The sequence below is a fragment of the Homo sapiens genome, chromosome 2, assembly GCF_000001405.40.
Source record: "Homo sapiens chromosome 2, GRCh38.p14 Primary Assembly".
Classification (NCBI taxonomy): Eukaryota; Metazoa; Chordata; class Mammalia; order Primates; family Hominidae; genus Homo; species Homo sapiens.
The window spans coordinates 153482694-153507244 of NC_000002.12; the positions used below are offsets into that span (position 1 = coordinate 153482694).

The window sequence follows — 24551 nt, forward strand, 5'->3', positions numbered from 1 at the left end:
ACCCTAACCTCAGGTGATCAGCCTGCCTTGGCCTCCCAAAGTGCTAGGATTACAGGCGTAGCCAACGCACCCAGCCTTTTTTTTTTTTTTTAAATCCTCTATGTACCTCATTTACTTATCTGTTAAATGGGGATAACACTTTACAGAATTTTGAAAGGATTGATCTATTCTATGGAAACAACTGGAAAACAGTACCTAGCACATAGCAAGATCTCAAATACAGATATATTGCAATAGTTCCTGAGGTGGACATCAATATGCATAAGTCATTAAATGAAAAAAGCCATTAAATTTTATTCAATAGTTTTCTTCTAAGAAGTCTGGAAAGTGAGTGAAACATTTTAGAAAGATTTCCATATAAAATGGTTGACCTTGGTGAGTAAAAAATGCTAAGGATGTGGAGAAATTGGAACCCTCGTGCATTGCTGGTGGGCATGTAAAATGGTACAGCCATTGTGAAAAACATTATGGTGGTTCCTCAAAAAATTAAACATAAAATTACCACATAATCCAGCAATTCCACTTCTAGGTATATACCCCTCAACATTGAAATCATGTACTTAAACAGGGATATGTATATTACTGTTCATAACAGCATTGTTCACAATGGCCAAAAGGTGGAAGCAACCCAAACGTCCATCAACAAATGAAGTGATAAACAAACTGTGGTATTTACATAAATGGAATATTATTCCGCCTTAAAAAGGAATAAAATTCTTTTTTTTTTTTTTTTTTTTTTTTGATACGGAGTTTTACTCTGTTGCCCAGGCTGGAGTGCAATGGCGCAATCTCAGCTCACCGCAACCTCTGCCTCCAGGGTTCAAGCAATTCTCCTGCCTCTGCTTCCTGAGTAGCTGGGATTACAGGTATGAGGCACCATGCCCAGCTAATTTTGTATTTTTAGTAGAGACGGGGTTTATCCATGTTGGTCAGGCTGGTCCTGAACTCCCGACCTCAGGTGATCCACCTACCTTGGCCTCCCAAAGAGCTGGGATTATAGGTGTGAGCCACCACGCCCGGCCCTGCCCTGAAATTCTTATAGATGTTACAACATGTATGAACCTTGAAGACATTATGCTAAATGAAATAAGCCAGATAAAAAAGAATAATATGGTATGATTTCACTTTTAAATGAGGTACCTAGACTAGCCAAATTCAGAAAGCAGCATGATAGTTACTAGGGATTGGGGAGAGGAGTAACAGTAGTTATGGGTACAGAGTTTGAGTTTGGAATGATGAAGAGTTTCTGGAAATGGATAGGGTGATGGTTGCACAAAAATATGAATCTACTTAATGCCTCTGAATTGTACATATAAAAATTGTTAAAATAGTTTTATGTTTTATGTACTTTACCACAATAAAATATTCTAAATATTTTAAATTAGATTTGAGATAAATATTTACATTTTTGAAAATACAGAACACTTAGAAAATAATCCCCCCAAATGTATTACTCTCATAGCTCAAAGATACTCACCCTAGTAATGTAGACTATTTTTTTCTTTTTACTATACTTATTTGAACATAGCCATGACTATATAGTAAATACAATTTTATACCTTGCTTTTCCTTCTTAATACTACATTTGTCCATGGCATTAAAAACTTATATACACATTTTAGTGAGTATAGTATTCCATTATGTGAACATACTATAATTTATTTATTAAACCATAACTGAGCAGTTATATTGATCTCGAATATTGTTATTGAATTAATTATGCACAAAGAACATTTTTCCTTATAATGTTTCCTATATTTAAATTACACTTTTAGGATGAGTTTACAAATTGAAATTTTTAGTAAAAACTATTATTTTTACAGAAAGCAAAAAGCAACCAAATTGTTTGCCAAAAAAGGTGTACCCGATTTTTACTCCTATTTGTAAAGCATGCAAACACCCATTTTATCCTAATCTTTAGAGCATTAGTTCTCAACTTTGGCTACATGTTAAAATCACCTAAAGATGCTTTAAAATTTTTTATACCCAAACCAAACCCACAATGATTAAATCAGAATTTCTGGAGGTAGGGCCCAAATGTCAGCATTTCTCAAAATCTTCCAAATGATTCAATAGTCTAGCCTGATTGAAAACCATTGTTTAATGTTTTCCAAGCTTGCCTTAAGATCAACTAGGATGGGGATGGGGGATAACTGGTTTCTGCCTCCTATTGCCAGTCAATTGAATTAGAGTTCCCCAAACTTGCTTCCTGGGTCTATCTACTGAGATTTTGCTTTGGTCAGTTTGAGGGGATTCCTATAAACTTGTGTTTTTACTGCATAACCCCAGAAAGACTGTTCTTGAGCACCAAGAGTTATGATTTTTAAAATTATGGTTGCAAGTTTGTCAGGGAAAAGGTGGTACCTTGTTTGAAGTTGCATGTTAGTATTGTAGTGGACAAATTTTCTAAAACTTTCTTATAGGACTGTATATCCTGCTTTGTAAACTTTATGTTCAGGTTCTTTGTCTTTCTCAATTGATATTTTATCATTCATATTGATTTATAATGTCTTCTTTTATCAGATATATTAACCTTTTCGTAAGACATATTTGTAAATTGATTTCCAGCTCATTTGCCTTTTAAATTAGGCTGTATTCTTCTTGGATATATGGAATATTCTTATATATGTAGATAACTTTCATCTGTGATTTCTTTCACTGCTTTTAAACTTAGAAAGTTCACTCTCATCCAGAATTTAATTATTATTTACACACTTCCTTTTTATTAAAAAACATTTTTGATATTTGCATTTGCTTTACATTTAACACAATGGAATATCTGGAAGGTATTTATGTGTAAGATAGGTTTGCCGCCACCCAAACAGTCCATCAATAGGTAAATAATAATGCTGACACAATTTTTGAATTCAGAACTTAAATGAGGGATTTCAGGTATCTTTTTCTTTACAAAGGAAAATATATTACTGGGCCAGGCACACTGACTGACTCCTCTAATCCTAGCACTTTGGGAGGCAAAGACAGGAGGACTGCTTGAGCCCAGGAGTCCCAGACCAGCAACACAGCGAGACCCCATCTCTATAAAAAAATAAAAAGGCTTTAGCCGGGCATGGTGGTGCATGCCTATAGTCCCAGCTACTTGGGAGGCTGAGGTATGAGGATTGCTTGAGCCCAGGAGGTTGAGGCTGCAGTGAGCTGTGATCGTGCCACTGCACTCTAGCCTCGGCGACAGAGCAAGACCCTGTCTTAAAAAACAAACAAAAAAGAAAATAAATCACCTTCCTTTTGTTTTTTTGGTTTTTTTTCCAAGAGTCTTTCTCTGTCACCCAGAGCTGGAGTGCAATGGCATGATCTCAGCTTACTGCAACCTCCACTTCCCAGGTTCCAGCAATTCTCCTGCCTCAGCCTCCCGAGTAGCTGGGATTACAGGCATGTGCCACCACACCTGGCTAATTTTTGTATTTTTGGTAAAGACAGGGTCTCACCATGTTGGCCAAGCTGGTCTCAAACTCCTGACCTTGTGATCCACCTGCCTCGGCCTCCCAAAGTGCTGGATTACAGGTGTGAGCCACCGTGCCCAGCCTCACCTTCCTTTTAATGAAATTTGTAAACTTTAAGCTTCTAAAATGTAGAGACTGTGTCTGTCTATTTTATCTTTTGATTTTAGTATTTATATTCTTATGGCACTCAAAATTATTATGTAATAAGGGTAGATCAGAGGAAAAATAACCGAGGTTGTGGGGACAGCCGTAAAAATTAAACCTCTTCGTCTTTTATTTAAATACATTCCCTCAATCTCTTACCTGTGACATCTGATTACAGTGGACTTCTTTCTGTGGGAGGAGAGTGAAGACTGAACTTGTGTTACCCAGTTGGCTGCACTGAGTCAGGGCTTTCTTTACATGCCAGGCATGTGAAATAACGTTGTGAGTAGTAGCCACAGTGCTCTCTCATCTGTTAATATTTCTTTAATGTCGTTGAAATAAAGGGCCAAAGAAAGCATGTAATAACTCACCCCAAGCTTGATTTAAAAATTCTGACCACTGAGCATGCAGTTTTCCGAATGATACATCATAGACCTATAGCATCCTATTTTTAGATGTGCAGCATAGACAATTTTTGCCTCCACAGAATTTTTGTCATTATTTCACTCTGACTTTCCATGTACTCTTTAAAGTCTGCATGATTTAGACTTTGGAGTGAAAAAGCCACTGAACTGCTTATAATCTTCCATTTCACTGATGTATACCCTCCCATCCTAAGAAACAAGAGTTGCACCAGCTTCAATATGGGGAAAAGCAGGTGGCTGCAAGGAGGCACAAAAGTTGCAATGTCTCCAGTTTATCAGATTCAGCTCGATTAATCAGAGGTGGGATTATATCTGTTTCCATAGGACAAGTGTGTGTTATTTTACTCCAATATTGATTTTAAAAACATGAAGGAGAAATCATCCCAGAAGCAAAGGAGGAAAACGAAATCTCTACAATACCATGTTCAATTTAGACTTGTATATTTGCACTCATGAAGATTTACAACTTCTGCAAGAGAGAAACAATGTAGGTCACCTATTTTCAGATAACAAGCAGGGGTAGCAGCATTTCTGTGTGTATACACTGCTCATAGTGGCAACAATAGTCCAACATTTACTGTATGCACACCTGTGATTCTGCAGTTGACAAATATTAAAAGTCAATGTGATGGATGTCGTTGGGCCAGTCGCCTACCAACATCACTCTGCTCAATTTCCTTATCTGCCAACCATTTCTCTTTTCCCTCCAATATTTTTATGGCAATTAATTAGTGTATTTATCCAGGAAACATTTACAGAGCATCTTATGTGTATAACATTCTCTAGGGGTATAGATCTAAGGGACACAGTCTCTGCCTTCCAGAAATTAGGGAAGCAGATCATGCAAAAAAGCAATTATGGTAGCCTGTGATAAATTCTGTGGGAAATGTATGAAGAGCATGTAATCCAGACTGGGGCACTGGGAGAGTGGTAATGAGGACATGATACATGAGCTGAGTCATGAAGGATAAATAGGAGACAGCTAGCCAGGCGAAGCATGCCAAATGCACCAAGGCATGAGAGAACATGCATTTTACTTTTGTGCATGCAAGGAGTTCTGTATTTTTGGAGTATTGACTATTACAAGTTTGGGAACAATCAAGGAATTTGAAGGGTCCAAATCATGAGGGCTTTGTTTTTTTGCATCTTAAAGAATGTGGATTTCCACTTGAAAGCCATGGGGACACATTGAAGGGCTTTAAGCAGCAGACTAAAAAAAGTCAGATTTGCATTTTAAAAAGAACCTCTGCAGGCAGTCCAAAGGAATATTAAGGTAAATGAAACTTCTGGGAACAGCATAAAGTCTTATACATTACATGTTAAATAAATCATACCAGAGATGCCTGGTAGCCAAAGGAAGGAGGTGGCTTCTCATTTCTAGAAACTCATTTTGTAATTCACTGACAGCAGCATCCAGAACATGAATATCCTTGTTTTAGTTTCAGTTTCTTCAGTTGTGCTGGACACCTTAAAAGAGGACATTGTCACCATGGCAAACCTGACTGAAATGCACAGAGAAGGCACTTCCGCCTGGGGAGCCTCAGTTCTTTCTCTGTGAAGAAGGCTCTTTTTGTTGTAGTCTGTGTCTGCATTCAGCATGTCACATTCGCACACACTGAGCAGTGACACGCAGTCCTTGCTAGGGTGTTCTTTTAGACACTGTTTTTTTCCTCAGCCACCTAGAGCTATAGTATACTGCTCCAAGTGAAGGTTTTGTGATGCTTAACAAGCAATTATTTTTCAGGCTGCTGAGTGACCCACTTTAACCTTAATAGTCACCAGCCACCTCTATGTCCTGCCCAGATAATGATGTTTTTGGTGGGTCTTGAATCTCGCTGATGGTCTGACTGCATTCCACAACATCATTGCTGGAGAGCCTGCCTTGAATTTAATCTCTATGGAGCTGGTGTAATGACATTGTTGAGTCCAAATTCTGTAAGATGCATCTGTGATACATCCAGAGCTATTTCCAGTATGAAAAGACTCAGACAATTGAAAACTCTAAGAAAAAAATAATGGAGCCTGCTATGGTTTGACTGCCTCCCCTCCAAAATTCAGGTGTTGCTAATGTGATACAATTAAGAGGTGAGGCCCTTAAAAGGTGATTAGGCCATAAGTGCTCCTCCCTTATTAGTGGGATTAGGTGCCTCTGCAAAGGAACCTGACGAAGGGAGTTTGTCCTCTCTTGCCATTCTGCCTTCTGCTGTGTGAGGACATAGCAAGCATATTGATCTTGGATTTCCTGGCCTCCAGAACTGTGATAAATAAATTTCATTAATTTAAGTGAAACAACTGAGAGGCAGAAAGTCAAATACTGCATGTTCTCACTTATAAGTGGGAACTAAATAGTGTGTACATATGGACATAGGGAGTGGAATAATAGACATCGGAGACCAGAAGGATGGGAGAGTTGCGGGGGCTGAGGGGTGAGAAATTAATTACCTATTAAATAAAACGTACACTATTTAGGTGATGGCTACACTAAAAGCCCAGACTTCACAACTACACAACATATCCATGTAATAAAACTGCACATATACTTCCTAAATCTATAAAAAACAATAATACAAACAAAAGGCACATGTAAGCATGCTTTCTTTTTTAAAAAATAAATTTTTGTTCTTTATATATTACCCAGTCTGTGGTATTTCATTATAGTAGCACAAAAGAGACTAAGAGCCTCATTCTACCTTTTCAATAATTGACTCTTAAATGTTAAACATCTCTTGATGCTCCCTGTAGTACAAAGATTGTTTGGATAGCACTCAGACATTTAAAGAAAAAGAAGACAGTTGGTGGGGCATGTTTATTTTTCCTAACGCAAGGTTATATTTCACTGTTGCCGTATATCCAAGGTTATATTTCATTGTTGTAGTCAGTAATTACTAAATACAAGTGGAATTACTAATCCCCAACCTATGTTTCGATTAATACAAGATAGGGCAAAATCAAGGCAACCCACCATTTTGGAGAAGGACTTTAAATTAAGGGCATAATAGGTAAGATCAGGTGTATACGAATGGTTCCTAGGAACTATTGGTTCTCAAACCAGATATTTAAGAGTAAATAAATTGTGTTTATAATAGCATATCAAAACTGTTGCAAAGTAAAATTTCTTAGCATGCATAGTTAGGTTATGTCACTCAAAAAGAGGAAGCTTCACTGAGGTGGGAGGATTATTAGAGCCCAGGAGTTTGAAGCTACAGTGAGATATAATCACACCCCTGCACTCCAGCCCGGGCAAAGCAAGGCCCTGTTTTACACACACACACACACACACACACACACACAAACACACAATACAAAACAGGGGCAGCTTCAGCAATGCAACATTCAGTGATGCTGATCCAAAGCAAGTAAGCTTGCTAATGTGTTTCTTATTCTGTCCAGAAGACAAAGTGTCCTGGCGTGTGGAATTCATTTGTTCGGTTCTTGTGACAGGAATATCTGTTAAGATGGCTGCCTTTGGATAATATTCTAATGGTATTAAAAGTTATCTACGTTTTCCATTAATTTACTGGAAAATTTTTTAAAAACTTTAATGTTTTGGATTATTCATAGATAAATATAGACAATATTTTTTAAAAAATGATTGGTATTTTTGCCTGTTTAAGAAATTTTTAGTCATTTTCATGGATAAAAGAGAAATATTTTATTTATTATTTATGTATTTATTTTGAGACAAAGTCTTGCTCTGTCACCCAGGCTAGAGTGCAGTGGCACAATCTTGGCTCAATGCAACCTCTGCCTCCCAGGCTAAGTGATTCTCATGTCTCAGCCTCCTAAGTAGCTGGGACTGCAGGCATGCACTGCCACTCCTGGCTAATTTTTGTATTTTTAATAGACAAAGGGTTTCACTATGTTATACATTTTACAAATGTTGCCTCAACCTCAACCTTCAAGGACAATACCAAAATAAACCACAAATCAGCTTCACTTATGAGTAAATACAAAATTGGCTGAGCGCAGTGGCTCACACCTGTAATCCCAGCACTCTGGGAGGCCCAGGCAGTCAGATCACCTGAGGTCAGAAGTTCAAGACCAGGCTGGCCAATATGGTGAAACCCCATCTCTATTAAAAATACAAAAATTAGCCAGGTGTGGTAGTGGGTGCCTGTAATCCCAGCTACTTGAGAGGCTGAGGCAGGAGAATCACTTGAACTCAGGACCCAGAGGTTGCAATGAGCCGAGATTGTGCCACTGCACTCCAGCCTGGGTGACAAAGCCAGACTCTGTCTCAAAAAAAAAAAAAAAAAATTATAAAGGAATATCTATTAACTCAACCTGATAGTATCGATATAATTTTATACCACAACTATGATTTATTTTAGGAATAAGTGGATGACTTAATACTATAAATCTATTAATATGGGACATACTAATTTGATGTAATATGTGAACATAATTTATCTAATTAGGAGATGAAATGAAAAAAGCAAAATCATTCAAACACAACAATAATTATTCTTTAACTCAGCAATAACAGATTATAGTATGTTAGAAATAAATCATTTCACAATAGAATAAAAATTTAACAGATATACAATAAATATAAGAAAAAATGTGAAGCTTCACAAAGGAAAAGTTTGAAATTTTACTAAGAAACATAAAAGAAGATTTGAGCTAATAACGTACCACATTCCTGGATAAAATACTTAATAGTAAAGACATTAATTAGATTTATAACTACAATGTGATTTCATTCAAAATCCTAAAGGGCTCTGATACTTAGGAAAATAACTGAAATCATTTAGAAAGGGAGATAGTGAGCACAGACTCTCCCTGTGAGAACAAGAACAGTATGGTATTAATGAAGGAAGAGCCATGCCAGAAGATCACATTTGAAAACTCAGAAACACACCTAAACCATATTATATTTATTTATTTATTTATTTATTTATTTATTTATTTATTTCTTCAGACGGAGTCTCGCTCTATTGCCCAGGCTAGAGTGCAGTGGCGTGATCTTGGCTCACTGCAGCCTCCACCTCCCAGGTTCAAGTGATTCTCTTGCCTCAGCCTCCCTGGTTGCTGGGATTACAGGTGCCAGCCACCGTGCCCAACTAATTTTTGTATTTTCAGTAGAGACAGGGTTTCACCATTGGCCAGGCTGGACTCGAACTCCTGCCTCAAGTGATCTGCCTGCCTCGGCCTCCCAAAGAGCTGGGATTGCAGGTGTGTGCTACCATGCCCGGCCGTATTATCTTTATTTCTATATGAAGCATTTTAAATCAAAGGAAGCATTTTGTTAAATACAGAGCCAAGGAAACTGTTTATAAAATACTAAAATTCCAATTCCATTTAAAAAAATAAATGTAAAAGTGACTAAAATGGCAAACTACACATAAAGGAGGAAACATTAGCAAAATACTAGGAGTTCAGAGGATTCTGGCAGAATGATGGTAGTGGGTGGTAGAATAGTTTATGAGTCTTCTCAAATCCAACCATTCAAACACATAGGGAAATTAGGATATGAAAGCCTAACCTGAAGACAGCGTCTAAAACAAGTGGAGGTGACAAGACATCCTCATTAACCCTAAAGTATGAGTGAGTAAGGACAAATTACCAACAGCTACAAGACCAGTGTAGTATCAGCATCTGCAAAGGAGGAAGCAGAAGACAGCCACAGTGTATCTGACAGACATGAGAACACCTGATTAACTAAAAGGTACTAATCCAAAAGTTTAGCAAACCTATTGAAGAACATTAGCTACAACTTTAGAGTTGCTGCTTTGCAGAATTCAATAACAGGTGAGTGCAAGCGGTCTACATAAAAGACTAAAGAAGCTAGCAAGAGAGGCTGAGACATAAACTCTCAGCATTAACCAGCTACATCTCCTTTCAAAGTCCCACACTGCTGGGAATAGAAAACAATTTGAGCATAACAAAAACAACAGAGGAAAAACGAAATAATGTTCACATGAAAGTGCAGATAGGAACAGAGCTAGAAAAACTAAAAAATAAGTGGCAATAGTCTTGACTCAATAGATATTTATGGAATGCTACCCTCAGCAATTGCAGAATATTCATTTTCAGCATGTGTGATACATTCACCAATATAATACATGTGTTGGGTCCCAAAATTAGTTTTACTAATTCCAAAAGTATTGAAATAGAGTATATTGTCTGATCATGGCATAGTTAAATTAGTATTCATTTACAATAAAACATCTAGGAAAACCTCAAATACTTAGAAATTTAACAAACAATTTCTAAATTATTCATGGGTCAAACGGAAAAAAAGAAAATTAAATGCTCAAACTGAATGATAATGTGAAAACAATATATTAAAATGTGTGGGGCATAGCAAAAGTGGTGTTTAGGAAAACACTTAAAGCTTTAAATGTTACAAAAGAAGGACCTAAAATGAAGAGCTAAGGTACCACCAGAAGAAGCTAAGAAAAAAAAGAGCAAAGTAAATAGAAGACGGAAATAATAAAGCTGAGAGCAGAAAGTAATGAAATAGAAAGCAGGCAAACAATAGAAAAAATTAATGCAGAAACCTGGTTCTTTGAAGATATCAACAAAATTGATAAGCACCAAGCAAAGATGATCACTGTTTCACAGAGAGAGAGAAAAGGAGGGAGAAAGGAAAAATTGCTAATATTAGAAATGAAAGGTCTTACAAATATTAATGGAAAATAATAGAATATTGTCAACAACCTCTATTTCAAAAATTCTACAACTTAAATGAAATGGATAAATTTATTGACAAATGTAACAAACACAATACGAAAATAAAAATTTATTTAAAATAATTTCGTTTTAAATCAAAAAGCCTTCTTACTCAGAAATTTTCACATGATTTCACTGGTTAATTCTGTCACAATTTGAAGAGGAAATAAGACCAATCTTACACAGCATTTTTCAGAAAAATAGGATAATAATAAAGAGGGAACATTCTCCAACTCATTATATAAGGCCAGCATAATCTTAATAGAAAACCTGACAAAGATACTACAAAAATAAAATCATTATAGATGAATATTCTTATGAATATAGATATTAAAATCCTTAATAAAATATTAGCTAATCAAAGCCAACAATGTATGAAAAGGAAAATATATTGGACCAAGTAGGGTTTATCCCAGTAATTCAAGCTTGGATTTCACATCAAGAAAAAAAAATCATAGTAGTTTGTTGTATTAGTTCATTTTTGCATAACTATAGAGGAATACCTGAGATTAGGAAATTTATTTAAAAATGAGGTATAATTGGCTTACAGTTCTATGGGCTATACAAGCACGGCTCCACCATCTGCTTTTTATAAGGTCAGAGGATAGGGGGCTCATATAAAAGCAACAAATACATTTTTGTATAACAGCAACAAATAACATTTAGGAATAATTTTAGCAAAAAAAAAATGAACAAGACCTCTTCACTTACAACTATTGAACATCACTGAGAAAAATTTAAAAGGCCTATGTAACTAAAAAGATGTACCATGTTTACACATTTCCTTTCTTAGTATTGTTAAAATTATAATTTTTCCCAATTGTGTGTATGTATTTTTCCCAACACAATTCCAATCCAAATTTTCCACAGACTTTAAAAAAGTATAAATTTATCAGATGACTCAAAAATGTATGTAGAAATCAAAATGACCTAGAATACTGCGGGCAATTTAGAGAGAAAATTAATTTGGTGGACATGCACTATTTTAAATGTGGTTTGGCAACAAAAGGATAGATATAAAGGTCAATATAATAGAATAGAGGGTCTAGAAATAAACTTATACATATATGACCAATTGATTTTCAGCAAGTACCCCAAAACAATCCAATGGGGAAGGGAACATTTCTTTTAGATGTTGCTAGGATAACTAGATAAATACATGAGGAAAAGTGAACATTTACCCTTACCTCATACTGTGCTAAAAAACTAACAAGAAATGGATTATTAATATAAATGTAAAAAAGTAAAATTATAATATTTCAACAAAGAAATAGAAGAGAAACCTTTGTGACCTTAATGTAGGCAAAGGTTTCTATGAAAGGAAAGTATAAGTAATCCAAGAAAAAAATGGTAACTTAGATTTCATCAGAATTTAACAACTTTGCACTTTGAAAGAAAACTTTAGCAAAACAAAAGAAGTAAGCCACATAGTAGGAGAAAACATACATATCCAGAATATATATAATACTCTTTTGAGTCTATAAGAAGACCAGAGACCTAATAAAAATGAACAAACTATTTGAATAGATACTTCTTAAGAAAGATGTAAAAATGTCCAGTAAATACAATGGAGAAGATTCACAATATCTCAATTGGGAAAATGCATTTAAAATCAGAATGAGATAATACTACATAGACTAGTTAATCTTGCCTACTGAAAATAGACACAATTTTACTTCTTTTTCTTGATTATTTTGCCTTTCTTTTTTTTCCCTTTTATTACAATGACTAAAACTAAAAAGAATATACTAAGTGTTAGTGAAGATGTAGAACAACTAGAATTCTCATACATCACTGGTAGGACTACACAATGGTACAATCCTTTAGAAATCTGTTTGGCAATTTCTTAAAATGTTAGACATTCACCTACTATAAGCACACCCCAGCCTGGGCAACAGAACGAGACTCTGTCTCAAAACAAACAAACAAACAACAACAACAAAAACAACAACAACAAAATAAAAAGACTAATTCATTTCACTCCTTGGCATTTACCCAAGAGAATAAAAACATTTGTCCACAGAAAAATGTATCCAGGAATACCAGTACAATAATAGTAGCTTACATCACAGGAGCCCAGATCTGGAAACAACCATAATTGCAATAAAGACATAAATGTATAAACACATTTTGTTTCATGAATTCAAAAAAGTACTCAAAAAAACAAAACAAGCAAACAAAAACCAAAGGAACCTACTGATGCAAACAACATATTGGATGAATCTCAAAATGCTGATTGAAAAAATTCATACAGAAAAGAGAACATACTATTTTGTTTTGTAGATATAAAATTCTAGAGAATGCAAACTACTAATCTATCATATCAAAACACAGAACAATGGTTTCTGAAACAGTGGGGAGGGAATCATGGAATGCAAATGGGACCATGACACTTTTGTTTTCTGTCTTGTTTGTGATGGCTGTTTTCTGTGTAATACACATTGGTCAACACTCACTTGAGAGGAGTAATGACCTTCCATTGAGGGAAAAGTTAGCCTGAGGTAACCTTACAGGAAAGGAGCCAGGAGAGTAAATATCCAGACCTCACTCTTCTTGGGCTTGTTAGTGTCTTGGCAGGCAGAGTTCCTACTGGCTGAACTGACAGGAAACCAAAGGTTATAGCCCTGCCGATGGTGTCCAAACAAATCAGTCTCTAGCAGCAGCATGAAGAGTGGGGAAGGACAGAGTGGAACCAAAGAAGGAAGAGATGCAGCATTGATCATTTGCCAATGTTCAGATTATATTTTAGGGTTTGATTTTCTCCAAGCCCCATTAATAAACGTTATTGCAATATATTCTTCATAGCATTGTTCCATTTTCTTTAGCTCAACGAGTTCACATAAACCATGGTTTATCCTAATAGAATGGTTTCTGGACCTTTCCTTTTTAAGGAATCCCTAATGGCAGAGGGAGATAAATACTTAACTCTTAGGAAATCTGGGAGCATGGCTTGAAATTTACTGTATACATCCAATTTCTTCTAAGTCTCTTTTTGTTTGTTTCAGCTAAATAATTGATGTGAGTTTTGAATTGCACTGCATAGAACATTTGTTTGATATTACATCAAAGTTACTTACAAAAAGGAAAAATCAAACTAAAAAATATCCTGACTTTGTAAAATAGTTTTTTTCAGATCAATTTCCAGTAATTGGGTAAAAATAAGATCACAGATTTTTTTCTAATCTATAAAATATTAACAGCCATAAATATTAAATCTTCATATTCCAAGTAGCCACTGTTATTTCTTCTACTGCTTTTCATTAAACCTGTTAGGTGGGAAACCACTGTTTCTTAAGAATGTATCTCTTGGCTGGGCACAGTGGCTCATGCCTATAATCCCGGAATTTTGGGAGTTCAAGGTGGGTGGATCATCTGAGGTCAGTGGTTCAAGACCAGCCTGGCCAACATAGTGAAACCCCATCGCTACTAAAAATACAAAGAAAAAAAAATTACCCAGGTGTGGTGGTGCACGCCTGTAGTCCCAGCTACTCGGGAGGTTGAGGCAGGAGAATCGCTTGAACCCCAGAGGCGGAAGTTGCAGTGAACTGAGATTGCACCACTGCACTCCAGCCTGGGCGACAGAGCAAGATTTTGTCTCAAAAAAAAAAAAAAAAAAAAGAAAAAAGAAAAAAAAGAATGTATCTCTCATTAAGACATAATAGGTACTGCATTCCTCTTTGAGATGAAATTCACATTCAAATAGCGGACACTCTGAGAAATTCTGCAATTAAAACATGCCTGTTGGCTTTTTAATAGCCAAAATTTTTTTCAGACTTATTTGACTGTGGAATTCTTTTCTGCTAAACACCTATTTACATCTCACGGAGCACTAAATATAGTTGATAAATGTTGCTCGAACCTAAGGAAGCACAAATAATAAACCACCTCAAGTATATAAGTTTTTTCAAATGAAGATTAGCTGTTTCTTTTGGGGCTGGTGTCTGTTGCCTAATTCCTTTATGAGCCTCTTCTCTATGTTCCCACAGTTCTTTATGTGTCCTTCATATTTTATGTCTCCTGCTGCTTATTGGTGCTTGACACACAGAAAGCATTCCATAACTATGTATTGGATTTGGAACACATTAAGTTCATTAGCTACTTTTTATTTTCTTTACGTTTCTCCCGCATTTTTTTTTTTTTTTTTTTTTTTTTTTTTTTTTGAGACAGAGTTTCACTCCGTCTCCCAGGCTGGAATGCGGTAACATGATCTTGGTTCACTGCAACCTCCGCCTTCCGGGTTCAAGCAATTCTCCTGCCTCAGCCTCCTGAATAGCTGGGATTATAGGCGCCCACCATCACGCCCGGCTACTTTTTGTATTTTTAGTAGAGACGGGGTTTCACCATGTTGGCCAGGCTGGTCTCGAACTCCTGACCTCAGGCGATCCGCCCGCCTCGGCCTCCCAAAGTGCTGGGATTACAGGCGTGAGCCACTGCACCTGGCCATGTTTCTCCCAGTATCTTTTAGATTAGGGACCATCTGTTTACTCATCAATGCAAACATTCAGAATTTGGAAAAGAAAGAGTCAATAAAAAGAAAAATGAGAATGTTGCTTTGTAGGTTAATGTATAGAATTGCTGTGAGAGTTCAGAAGAATTCATTTTTATTAGTACAATGGCCAGATACAAGCAAACCTGCCGCTGTCGGGAAATGTGCCTGGAGATTATTTTGTACTCTTACTGATCTTGCCTATAAGGAGAGTAAACAAATAGATCAAGTTAGAGCCAACACTTCAGGTCATGCAGTGACATCTAGCGTGTGTAGGAAACAGCATTTTGGAATCACATGGTCACCTGACTCTTAAAAGATACAACCTTTTTAAAAAATCTTTCAAACGTTTTGTCTTAAAATTGTAAAGCAAAAATAGTGTCATGGGATCCTTGGGGTGTCACTTCGCCAGCTGGAAACCTCTGTGGCTGGCGGCACCTTCTGCTGAATATATCTTGTGCCCACTGGGCTTGTTCCGCCCTTGAAGGCTGGCAGGCTGTGCTTGGCTAACGCTATTGGCCCAGATCCCATACTTGCCAAGGGCGAGCCAGGCGCAGAGCAGCTAGGGGTATGTAGGCGAGTGAGCACGGGGTCCAGCCACTTTGCACAGCCAGGCATGCTGGCTGCTGTGGTGGGGCGGGCAGCTACAGGTGCTGGTACAGGTGCCACTTCTGTGTGAGGCTGTGGCTGGACCAGATGTACCATGTGTGGCTTCCTCTGCGGGCACCCACATCTGGACAAGGGGAATGCAGTGGTGTCCAGAAGCTTGGAGATGACAGGAACTGCAGAGCTCCAAAGAGGTTGTCACAGCCCTGGCTCGGGGAACCCCTAGGTCTGCCCTCCCTAAAGGGCCGCAGCTCTTCTCTCCTTCTCATTGCCTGAAATGCGGTGAGCAGGGTTGGGGGGTGTGTTTCAGCCCTGTTTGTGTTACAGCTCTTTCAATCCTGCCATTTGGTGGGTCCTAAGTTCGTTCTTTTTTTTTTTTGAGACGGAGTCTCGCTCTGTCACCAGGCTGGAGTGCAGTGGCGCGATCTCCGCTCACTGCAAGCTCCGCCTCCCGGGTTCACTCCATTCTCCTGCCTCAGCCTCCCGAGCAGCTGGGACCACAGGCGCCCGCCACCACGCCTGGCAAATCTTTGGTATTTTTAGTAGAGACGGGTTTCACCGTGCCAGCCAGGATGGTCTCGATCTGATCTCCTTACCTCGTGATCCGCCCGCCTCGGCCTCCCAAAGTGCTGAGAATACAGGCGTGAGCCATTGTGCCTGGCCAGGTCCTGGGTTCTTATCTTGCTTTCAGGAAGAATGAGGTACACAGACAACTGGAGGACGAGCAAGGTGAAGAGGAGCTTCACTAAGTGACAGAACAGCTCTCAGGAGACCCAAAATGGGTGGCTCCTTTCTGCAGGCAGGTCATCACAAAGTTTGTTCGAGTCTGGCTAAGTCTGGGATTTTTATGGGCTTAGAAGGGAGGAAGTGCTGATTGGTTCATGAGTGGACATGGGTGGGTCTGGAAAAAGTCCCGTAAGTTCTCACTCTGGTTTATTAACTTCACCTGGAACTGACAGCCTGCTCCCCATGCTTCAGGCCGTCACTGGCTTGAAGGTGGGATTTCACTGGGGACCTGCCCCTTTCCACCCAGGAGCCTGTCTGCCTCCTGCCACCATCAGTCATGTCGTCCATGATGCCCAGGCTTTTCATGCCGAGGAATGCCCGCAGACCTGTGCCAAGCCACCCTACACTTCACCTCAGCCTCCCTCCTGTGCTCATCGCACCCAAATTCCAGAGGGGGCTGAGGGGGCAGGGGGCTGGCATGTAAGCATTGCCTTGGGCACATGCATATCCAGCTGGGTAGTGACAGGGCCCAGGCTTGGCTTCAACTTTGCTCTGAAATCAGAGCATCCACCTGGAGCTGGGAGAGGCCAGGCAGTGGGAGCAGGCACTTCTGAGCCTCTGGGGTTAGGGGGCTTCCCAGTCCCCTGAGAGTGCAGGGATGCCTGGGTGCACAGCTGCGGCTGGGCAGCTGCAGCTGAACCCAGGAGTGCAGGGCTCCCACAACTCCCAACTTGGAAGGGGCCAGCTCTCCCGCCTGCTGCTTGTTCCCACCAGCTCCCTGGAGTGCACAGCTCCAGCCATGCCTCCCCCACTGCAGCTGGCATCCCCACAGGTGGCTGCTCCAGATGGGCTGCTGCTGCCATCAATCCCTCATGTGAAGAGGTACATCTAACTGTCATTAAGATAGGGATGATGCCTCATCTTAATTGCTTCATAATGACAGGGGGCATGTTTTGGGGAAAACAGCAGTCAGATCTCTCAGAGGCCTATCTAAGGGTTCCCAGTAAAAGGGAGCCATCATCCATGGTTCCATTTGCATGACCATTTGGAGTGTGATGGCCTGAAGACAAGAAGAGACAACTGGGTTATTAGAAGACATAGATCAAAATGAAACAAGAGGGTAAGGACAGCTCAAAAGTCCTGAGGCTGCTGACACACCTAGATAACTGGTAGCTACAGTTGTGCTTGCTAAGACTTGGGTGCATGGAGATTGGCTTCAGTTAGCTCCTTGGTCTTATTTTTTCAAAAAAGAAACCTGCGGGTTATGAGGACCACATTTAACCCCATCACCTGGCAGCGTTTGCAGGATAATTGCCCAGAATTAGAATATTGGTCCAGATTTTTACATTATGTATCCCTTTTGTTTCTTCTGAGCTGCAGTTAGAGATCACTGGTTGGTCACAGGAATAAGCAGGCTTAGTCTAAAATGCAGACAAAAACTTAAAAACAACTAATGAGCATCTGTCAAAGTCCTATAGCTGATTATAAACTATCTTTAGAAGAGGATCAAACAAGAGGATCAAAACAAGACAACAATTGTCTGTGAATGGCAAAATGTTTTAGGGTAGTCACAGTCAAAAACCTGATTGACAAAGAAATTTGGTTATTTCTGTGGTTTATAATAACATAATAACCCTAGTTATGATTGATAACATATACTCAGACATTAAAATTTAGAAATCTCATACAATTTTGGAACATATATTAATATTATTCACAAAAATATAACTGAAAAAGATTAAGCCTTATTTTTATTTTGACAATCCCATGTAACTAAGCACATCAAATAATCCTGTTTACCTGTCTTCCGGATATTTCAGGGGCCCTCTGTAGCATCCCAAAGTTACCAGTAAAAAAAAAAAATATATAAATTTGAAATTTCATTTTGGGAAGCCTATCAAATATATTAAAGGTTTAAAACACTTGATATTATGAAATAGAATTCCAGATTACCGTAAGTCATTTATTTAGCCAAAATGATGACTCAAAAATTTTCAAAGAAGGCAAAGCTTTTACTCATGAAGAGGGAAGACTTAGCTTTTCAGTCTGTTTTCTTTCAGTAGTTTAGTTTCACCTCCTTTTTTGTTGTTGTTGTTGTTTGCTTTTTGGTTTTTTTTGTTTTTATTTTTATTTTTTGAGATGGAGTCGCCCTCTGTCGCCCAGGCTGGAGTGCAGTGGCACAATCTCGGCTCACTTCAACCTCCACCTCCTAGTTACAAGCGATTCTCCCACCTCAGCCCTCCTGGTAGCCAGAATTACAGGCGCAAACCACCATGCCCGGTTAATTTTTGTATTTTTGGTAGAGACAAGGTTTCACCATGTTGGCCAGGCTGGTCTCAAACTCCTGACCTTAGGTGATCCACCTGTCTCGACCACCCAACATGCTGGGATTACAGGCATGAGCCTCCGCACCCGGCCACCTCCTTTGTTTTTCCCAAGGAGTCCCTGGACATCAGAAGTTATCTTAGGGCTTCTCATATGTGCATTAAGAGAGCCAAGATAAAATGGAGAAAAATAATTCAGTCGACTGAGAAGAAAAAAACTTTTTTTAAGAAAAACAAGATCCACAAAGAGAAAAGACATAAAGGCTTTTGAAATATAACTACAGCTTGGCTATCCGCTTTTAATTAAGCTGGCTTTTAACCATAGCACTCCTTTTAAAATAAGTCCTTTTAATTCTCTTATTACCCAACCTTAGCCACGCCAAATGGCCAATACTTCTGGCTTTTGAACTCACGGAGGGGCAGAGAATACAGTAATTTTTACCATTCCTACAACCAGTTTGCACAGAGAGAGACAAAGCAGAAGTCTGACTAGTAAGAAAAGTTAAAAAAAATTATTTATTTTTTGTGAGGCATTTTATTTATTTATTTAAATTTATTTTTATATTAATAGGTTTTTGGGGGAACAGGTGGTGTTTGGTTACATGAATAAATTCTTTAGTGGTGATTTCTTAATTTTTAGTGTACCCATCACCCAAGCAGTGTACACTGTACTCAATGTGTAGTCTTTTATCCCTCACCCAACTCCCACCCCTTCCCCCAAGCTCCAAAGTCCATTGTATCATTCTTAAGCCTTTGCATCCTCATTACTTAGCTCCCACTTATGACTGAGAACATGCAATGTTTGGTTTTCCATTCACAAGTTACTTCACTTAGAATAACAATTTCAAATTCCATCCAGCTAGCTGCCAATGCCATTGTTTTGTTCCTTTTTATGGCTGAGTAATAATATTCCATGATATATATACCACATTTTCTTTATCCACTCATTGATTGATGGGCATTTGAGCTGGTTCCATATTTTTGCAATTGCAAATTGTGCTGCTATAAACTTGCGTGTGCAAGTCTCTTTTGTGTATAATGACTTCTTTTTCTCTGGGTAGATACCTAGTAGTAGGATTGTTGGATCAAATGTTAGATCTACTTTTAGTTCATTAAGGAATCTCCACACTGTTTTCCATAGTTGTACTAGGTTACATTCCCACCAACAATGTAAAAGTGTTCTTTATTCACTGCATCCACACCAACATCTACAATTTTTTGATTTTTTGATCATGGCTATTCTTGCAGGAGTAAGGTTGGTATCACATTGTGGTTTTCATTTGCATTTCCCTAATAATTAGTGATGTTGAGCATTTTTTCATGTTTTTTGGCCATTTGTATGTCTTCTTTTGAGAATTGTCTATTCATGTCCTTAGCCCACTGATGTGATTTTTTTAAATTTCTTGCTGATTTGTTTGAATTCTTTGTAGATCCTGAATATTAATCCTTTGTCAGATGTGTAGATTGTGAAGATTTTCCTCCACTCTGTGGGTTGTCTGTTAACTCTGCTGATTATTTCTTTTGCTGTGAAGCTTTTTAGTTTAATTAACTCTCATCTATTTATCTTTGTTTTCGTTGCATTTGCTTTGGGGTTCTTGGTCATGAAGTCTTTGCCTAACCCAATGTCTAAAATGATCTTTTCAATGTCATCTTCTAGAATCCTTATGGTTTCAGTTCTTATATTGAAGTATTTGACCCATCTTGAGTTGATTTTTGTATAATGTAAGACGATGAGGATCCAGTTTCATTCTCCTGCAGTGGATTGCCAATTATCCTAGCACCATTTGTTGAATAGGGTGCCCTTTCCCCACTTAATGTTTTTGTTTGCTTTGTCAAAGATCAGTTGGCTTCATTTCTGGGTTCTCTATTCTGTTCCATTTGGTCTATGTGCCTATTTTTTTTTTAAATAATTAATTTATTTGAGACAACGACTTGCTCCGTTGCCAAGGTTGGAGTGCAGTGGCAAAATCTCAGCTCACTGCAACCTCTGCCTCCTGGGTTCAAGCTATTCTTGTGCCTCCACCTCCTGAGTAGCTGGGATTACAGGTGTGCACCACCATACCCGGCTAATTTTTGTATTTTTAGTAGAGACAAGGTTTCACCCCGTTGGCCAGGCTGGTATCAAACTCCTGGCCTCAAATGATCCACCCACCTCGGCCTCCCAAAGTGCTAGGATTACAGGTGTGAGCCACTGCACCCAGCCTATGTGCCTATTTTTATACAAGTACCATGCTGTTTTGGCAACTATGGCCTTATAGTATAGTTTGAAGTTGGGTAATGTGATGCCTCCAGATTTGTTCTTTTTGCTTGGTCTTGCTTTAGCTCTGCAGGCTTTTTTGGTTGCATATGAATTCTAGGATTTTTTTTTCTAGTTACATGAGGAATAATGGTGGTATATTGATGGGAATTGAGTTGAATTTGTAGATTGCTTTTGGCAGTATGGTCATTTTCAGAATATTGATTCTACCCATCCACAAGCATGGGATGTGTTTCCATTTGTTTGTTTGTGTTGTTTGTGATTTCTTTCAGCAGTGTTTTGTAGTTTTCTTCTTAGAAACCTTTCACCTCCTTGGTTAGGTATATTCCTAAGTATTTTATTTTTTGCTATTGTAAAAGGGGGTTGAGTTCTTGATTTGATTCTCAGCTTGGTTGCTGTTGGTGTATAGCAGAGCTACTGATTTCTGTGCATTAATTTTGTATCCTGAAACTTTGCTGAATTCATCTACCAGTTCTAGAAGCTTTTTGGATGAGTCTTTAGAGCTTTCTAGGTATACAATCATATAATCAGCAAACAGCAACAGTTTGACTTTCTCTTTACCAATTTGGATGCTCTTGATTTCTTTCTCTTGTCTGATGGCTTTGCCTAGGACCTCCAGTACTATCTTGAATAGAAGCGGTGAAAGTGGGCATTTTTGTCTTGTTCCAGTTCTCAAAGGGAATGTTTTCAACTTTTCCCCATTCAGTATAATGATGGTTGTGGGTTTGTCATAGATGGGTTTTATTACCTTAAGGTATGTCCCTTCTATGCCGATTTTGCTGAGGGTTTTAATCATAAACGGATGCTGGATTTTGTCAAATGTTATTTCTGTGTCTATTGAGATGATCATATGATTTTTGTTTTTAATTCTGTTTATGTGGTGTGTCACATTTATTGATTTGCAGATGTTAAACCATTCCAGCATCCCTGGTATGAAACCCACTTGATAATGATGGATTCTTTTTGATATACTGTTGGATTTGGCTAGCTCGTATTTTGTTGAGGATTTTTGCATCTATGTTCATTAGGGATATTGGTCTGTAGTTTTCTTTTCTTGTTATGTCCTTCCCTGGTTTTGGTATTAGGGTAATACCGGCTTCATAGAATGGTTTAGGAAGGATTCCCTCTTTCTCTCTCCTGTCGAATAGTGTCAGTAGGATTGGTACCAATTCTTCCTTGAATGTCTGATAGAATTCAGCAGTAAATTAATCTGGTCCTGGACTTTTTTATTGGCAATTTTTTAGTTCCCATTTCAATCTGGCTGCTGGTTATTGGCCTGTTCAGAGTTCTATATCTTCCTGGTATAATCTAGGAGGGTTGTATATTTCCAGGAATCTGTCCATCTCATTTAGGTTTTCTAGTTTATGTCCATAAAGATGTTTATAGTAGCCTTGAATAATATTTTGTATTTCTGTGGTATCAGTATATCCCATTTCATTTCTAATTGAGCTTATTTGGATCTTCTCTCTTCTTTTCTTGTTTAATCTCACTAATGGTCTATCATTTTATTTATCTTTTCAAACAACCAGCTTTTTGTTACATTTATCTTTTGTATTGTTCTTGTTGTTTCAGTTTCATTTAATTCTCTGCTCTGATCTTTGTCATTACTTTTCTTCTGTTGGGTTTGGGTTTGGAATGTCCTTGTTTCTCTAGTTTTGTGAGATGTGACCCCAGTTTGCTCTTTCAAACTTTCTGATGTAGGCATTTAATGCTATGAATTTTCCTCTTAGCACCACTATTGCTGAGGTTTTGATGGGTTGTGTCACTATTATTGCTCAGTTCAAATAATTTTTAAAAATTCGTTTCATTGTTGACCCAATGATCATTCAGGAGCAGGTTACTTAATTTCTATATATATATATGCATGGTTTTGAGGGTTTTGTTAGGAGTTAATTTCCAATTTTATTCCATTGTGGTCTGAGAGAGTACTTGATATCATTTTGATTTTCTTAAATTTACTGAGACTTGTTTTGTGCCTTATCATGCGGTCTATCTTGGAGAATGTTCCGTGTGTTAATGCATAGAATGTATATTCTGCAGCTGTTGGTAGAATGTTCTGTAAATATCTGTTAAGTCCATTTGTTCTAGGATATAGTTTAAGTCCATTGTCTCACAGTTTACTTTCAGTCTTGATGACCTGTCAGTGGAGTATTGAAGTCTCCCACTATTATTGTGTTGGCATTGATCTCATTTCTTATGTCTTGTAATAATTGTTTTATAAATTTTGGAGCTCCAGTTTTAGGTGCGTATATATTTAGGATTGTGATATTTTCCTGTAGACTAGAACTTTTATCATTATATAATGTCCTTCTTTGTCTTTTTTTATTCCTGCTGCTTTACAGTTTGTTTGATATATGAATAGCTACTCCTGCTTGCTTTTGGTGTCCATTTGTATGGAATATCTTTTTCCACACCTTTACCTTAGGTTTACGTGAGTCTTTATGTGTTAACTGAGTCTCCTGAAGACAGCAGAAACTTGGTTTGTGAGTTATTATCCAGTCTGCCATTCTGTATCTTTTAAGTGGAGCACTTAGGCCATTTACATTCAATGTTAGTATTGAGATGTGAGGTACTATTCTATTTGTCATGCTATTTATTGCCTGAATACCTTTTTTTCATTGTATTATTGTTTTATACGTCCTGTGAGATTTACTGTTTAAGTAGGGTCTATTTTGCTGTGTTTCCAGGATTTGTTTCAATATTTAGAGCTCTTTGAGCAGTTCTTGTAGTGCTGGCTTAGTAGTGATGAATTCTCTCAGCATTTGTTTGTCTGGAAAAGATGTTATCTTTCCTTAATTTATGAAGCTTAGTTTTGCTGGATACAAAATTCTTGGCTGATAATTGTTTTGTTTAAGGAGGCTAAAGATAGGACCCCAATCCCTTCTAGCTTGTAGGGTTTCTGCTGAGAAATCTGCTGTTACTCTTATAGGTTTTCCTTTATAGGTTATCTGATCCTTTTGCCTGACAGCTCTTAAGATTCTTTCCTTTGTCTTGACTTTATATAACCTGATGACTATGTGCCTAGGCAATGAACTTTTTGTGATGAATTTCCCAGGTGTTCTTCAGGCTGCCTGTATTTGGATGTCTAGATCACCAGCAAGGCCAGGGAAGTTTTCCTCTATTATTCCCTCAAACATGTTTTCCAGACTTTTAGATTTCTCTTCTTCCTTGGGAACATCAATCATTCTTAGGTTTAGATGCTTAGCATAGTCCCAAACTTCTTGGAGGCTTGGTTCATTTTTTAAAATTCTTTTTTCTTTGTCTTTGATGGATTAATTTGATGGGTTAGTTCAAAAGCCTTGTATTCAAGCTCTAAAGTTCTTTCTTCTGCTTGTTAGATTCTATTGCTGAGACTTTCCAGTGCATTTTGCATTTCTCTAAGTGTGTTCTTGATTTCCAGAAGTTGTGATTGTTTTTTATTCGTTATTTCACTGAAGAATTTTTATTTCG

At 37.9% G+C, this 24551-nt stretch overlaps 1 protein-coding gene across 5 annotated transcripts in view, besides 4 other annotated features; it reads left to right on the forward strand.

The window, feature by feature from the left end:
• GALNT13 (polypeptide N-acetylgalactosaminyltransferase 13) overlaps positions 1–24551 on the forward strand; it is a 1388282-nt gene that overhangs the window by 414401 nt on the left and 949330 nt on the right. The gene's annotated exons all lie outside the window — the stretch shown is intronic.
• Positions 12915–13416: an enhancer, noted in NCBI's record as "NANOG hESC enhancer chr2:154352121-154352622 (GRCh37/hg19 assembly coordinates)". NCBI's record gives its function as "activates a minimal SCP1, AML or CMV promoter by ChIP-STARR-seq in primed H9 embryonic stem cells {active_cell/tissue: H9 hESC(primed)}" and the evidence as "EXISTENCE:reporter gene assay evidence [ECO:0000049][PMID:30033119]".
• Positions 15284–15805: an enhancer, noted in NCBI's record as "H3K4me1 hESC enhancer chr2:154354490-154355011 (GRCh37/hg19 assembly coordinates)". NCBI's record gives its function as "activates a minimal SCP1, AML or CMV promoter by ChIP-STARR-seq in primed H9 embryonic stem cells {active_cell/tissue: H9 hESC(primed)}" and the evidence as "EXISTENCE:reporter gene assay evidence [ECO:0000049][PMID:30033119]".
• Positions 15806–16326: an enhancer, noted in NCBI's record as "H3K4me1 hESC enhancer chr2:154355012-154355532 (GRCh37/hg19 assembly coordinates)". NCBI's record gives its function as "activates a minimal SCP1, AML or CMV promoter by ChIP-STARR-seq in primed H9 embryonic stem cells {active_cell/tissue: H9 hESC(primed)}" and the evidence as "EXISTENCE:reporter gene assay evidence [ECO:0000049][PMID:30033119]".
• Positions 16593–17094: an enhancer, noted in NCBI's record as "H3K4me1 hESC enhancer chr2:154355799-154356300 (GRCh37/hg19 assembly coordinates)". NCBI's record gives its function as "activates a minimal SCP1, AML or CMV promoter by ChIP-STARR-seq in primed H9 embryonic stem cells {active_cell/tissue: H9 hESC(primed)}" and the evidence as "EXISTENCE:reporter gene assay evidence [ECO:0000049][PMID:30033119]".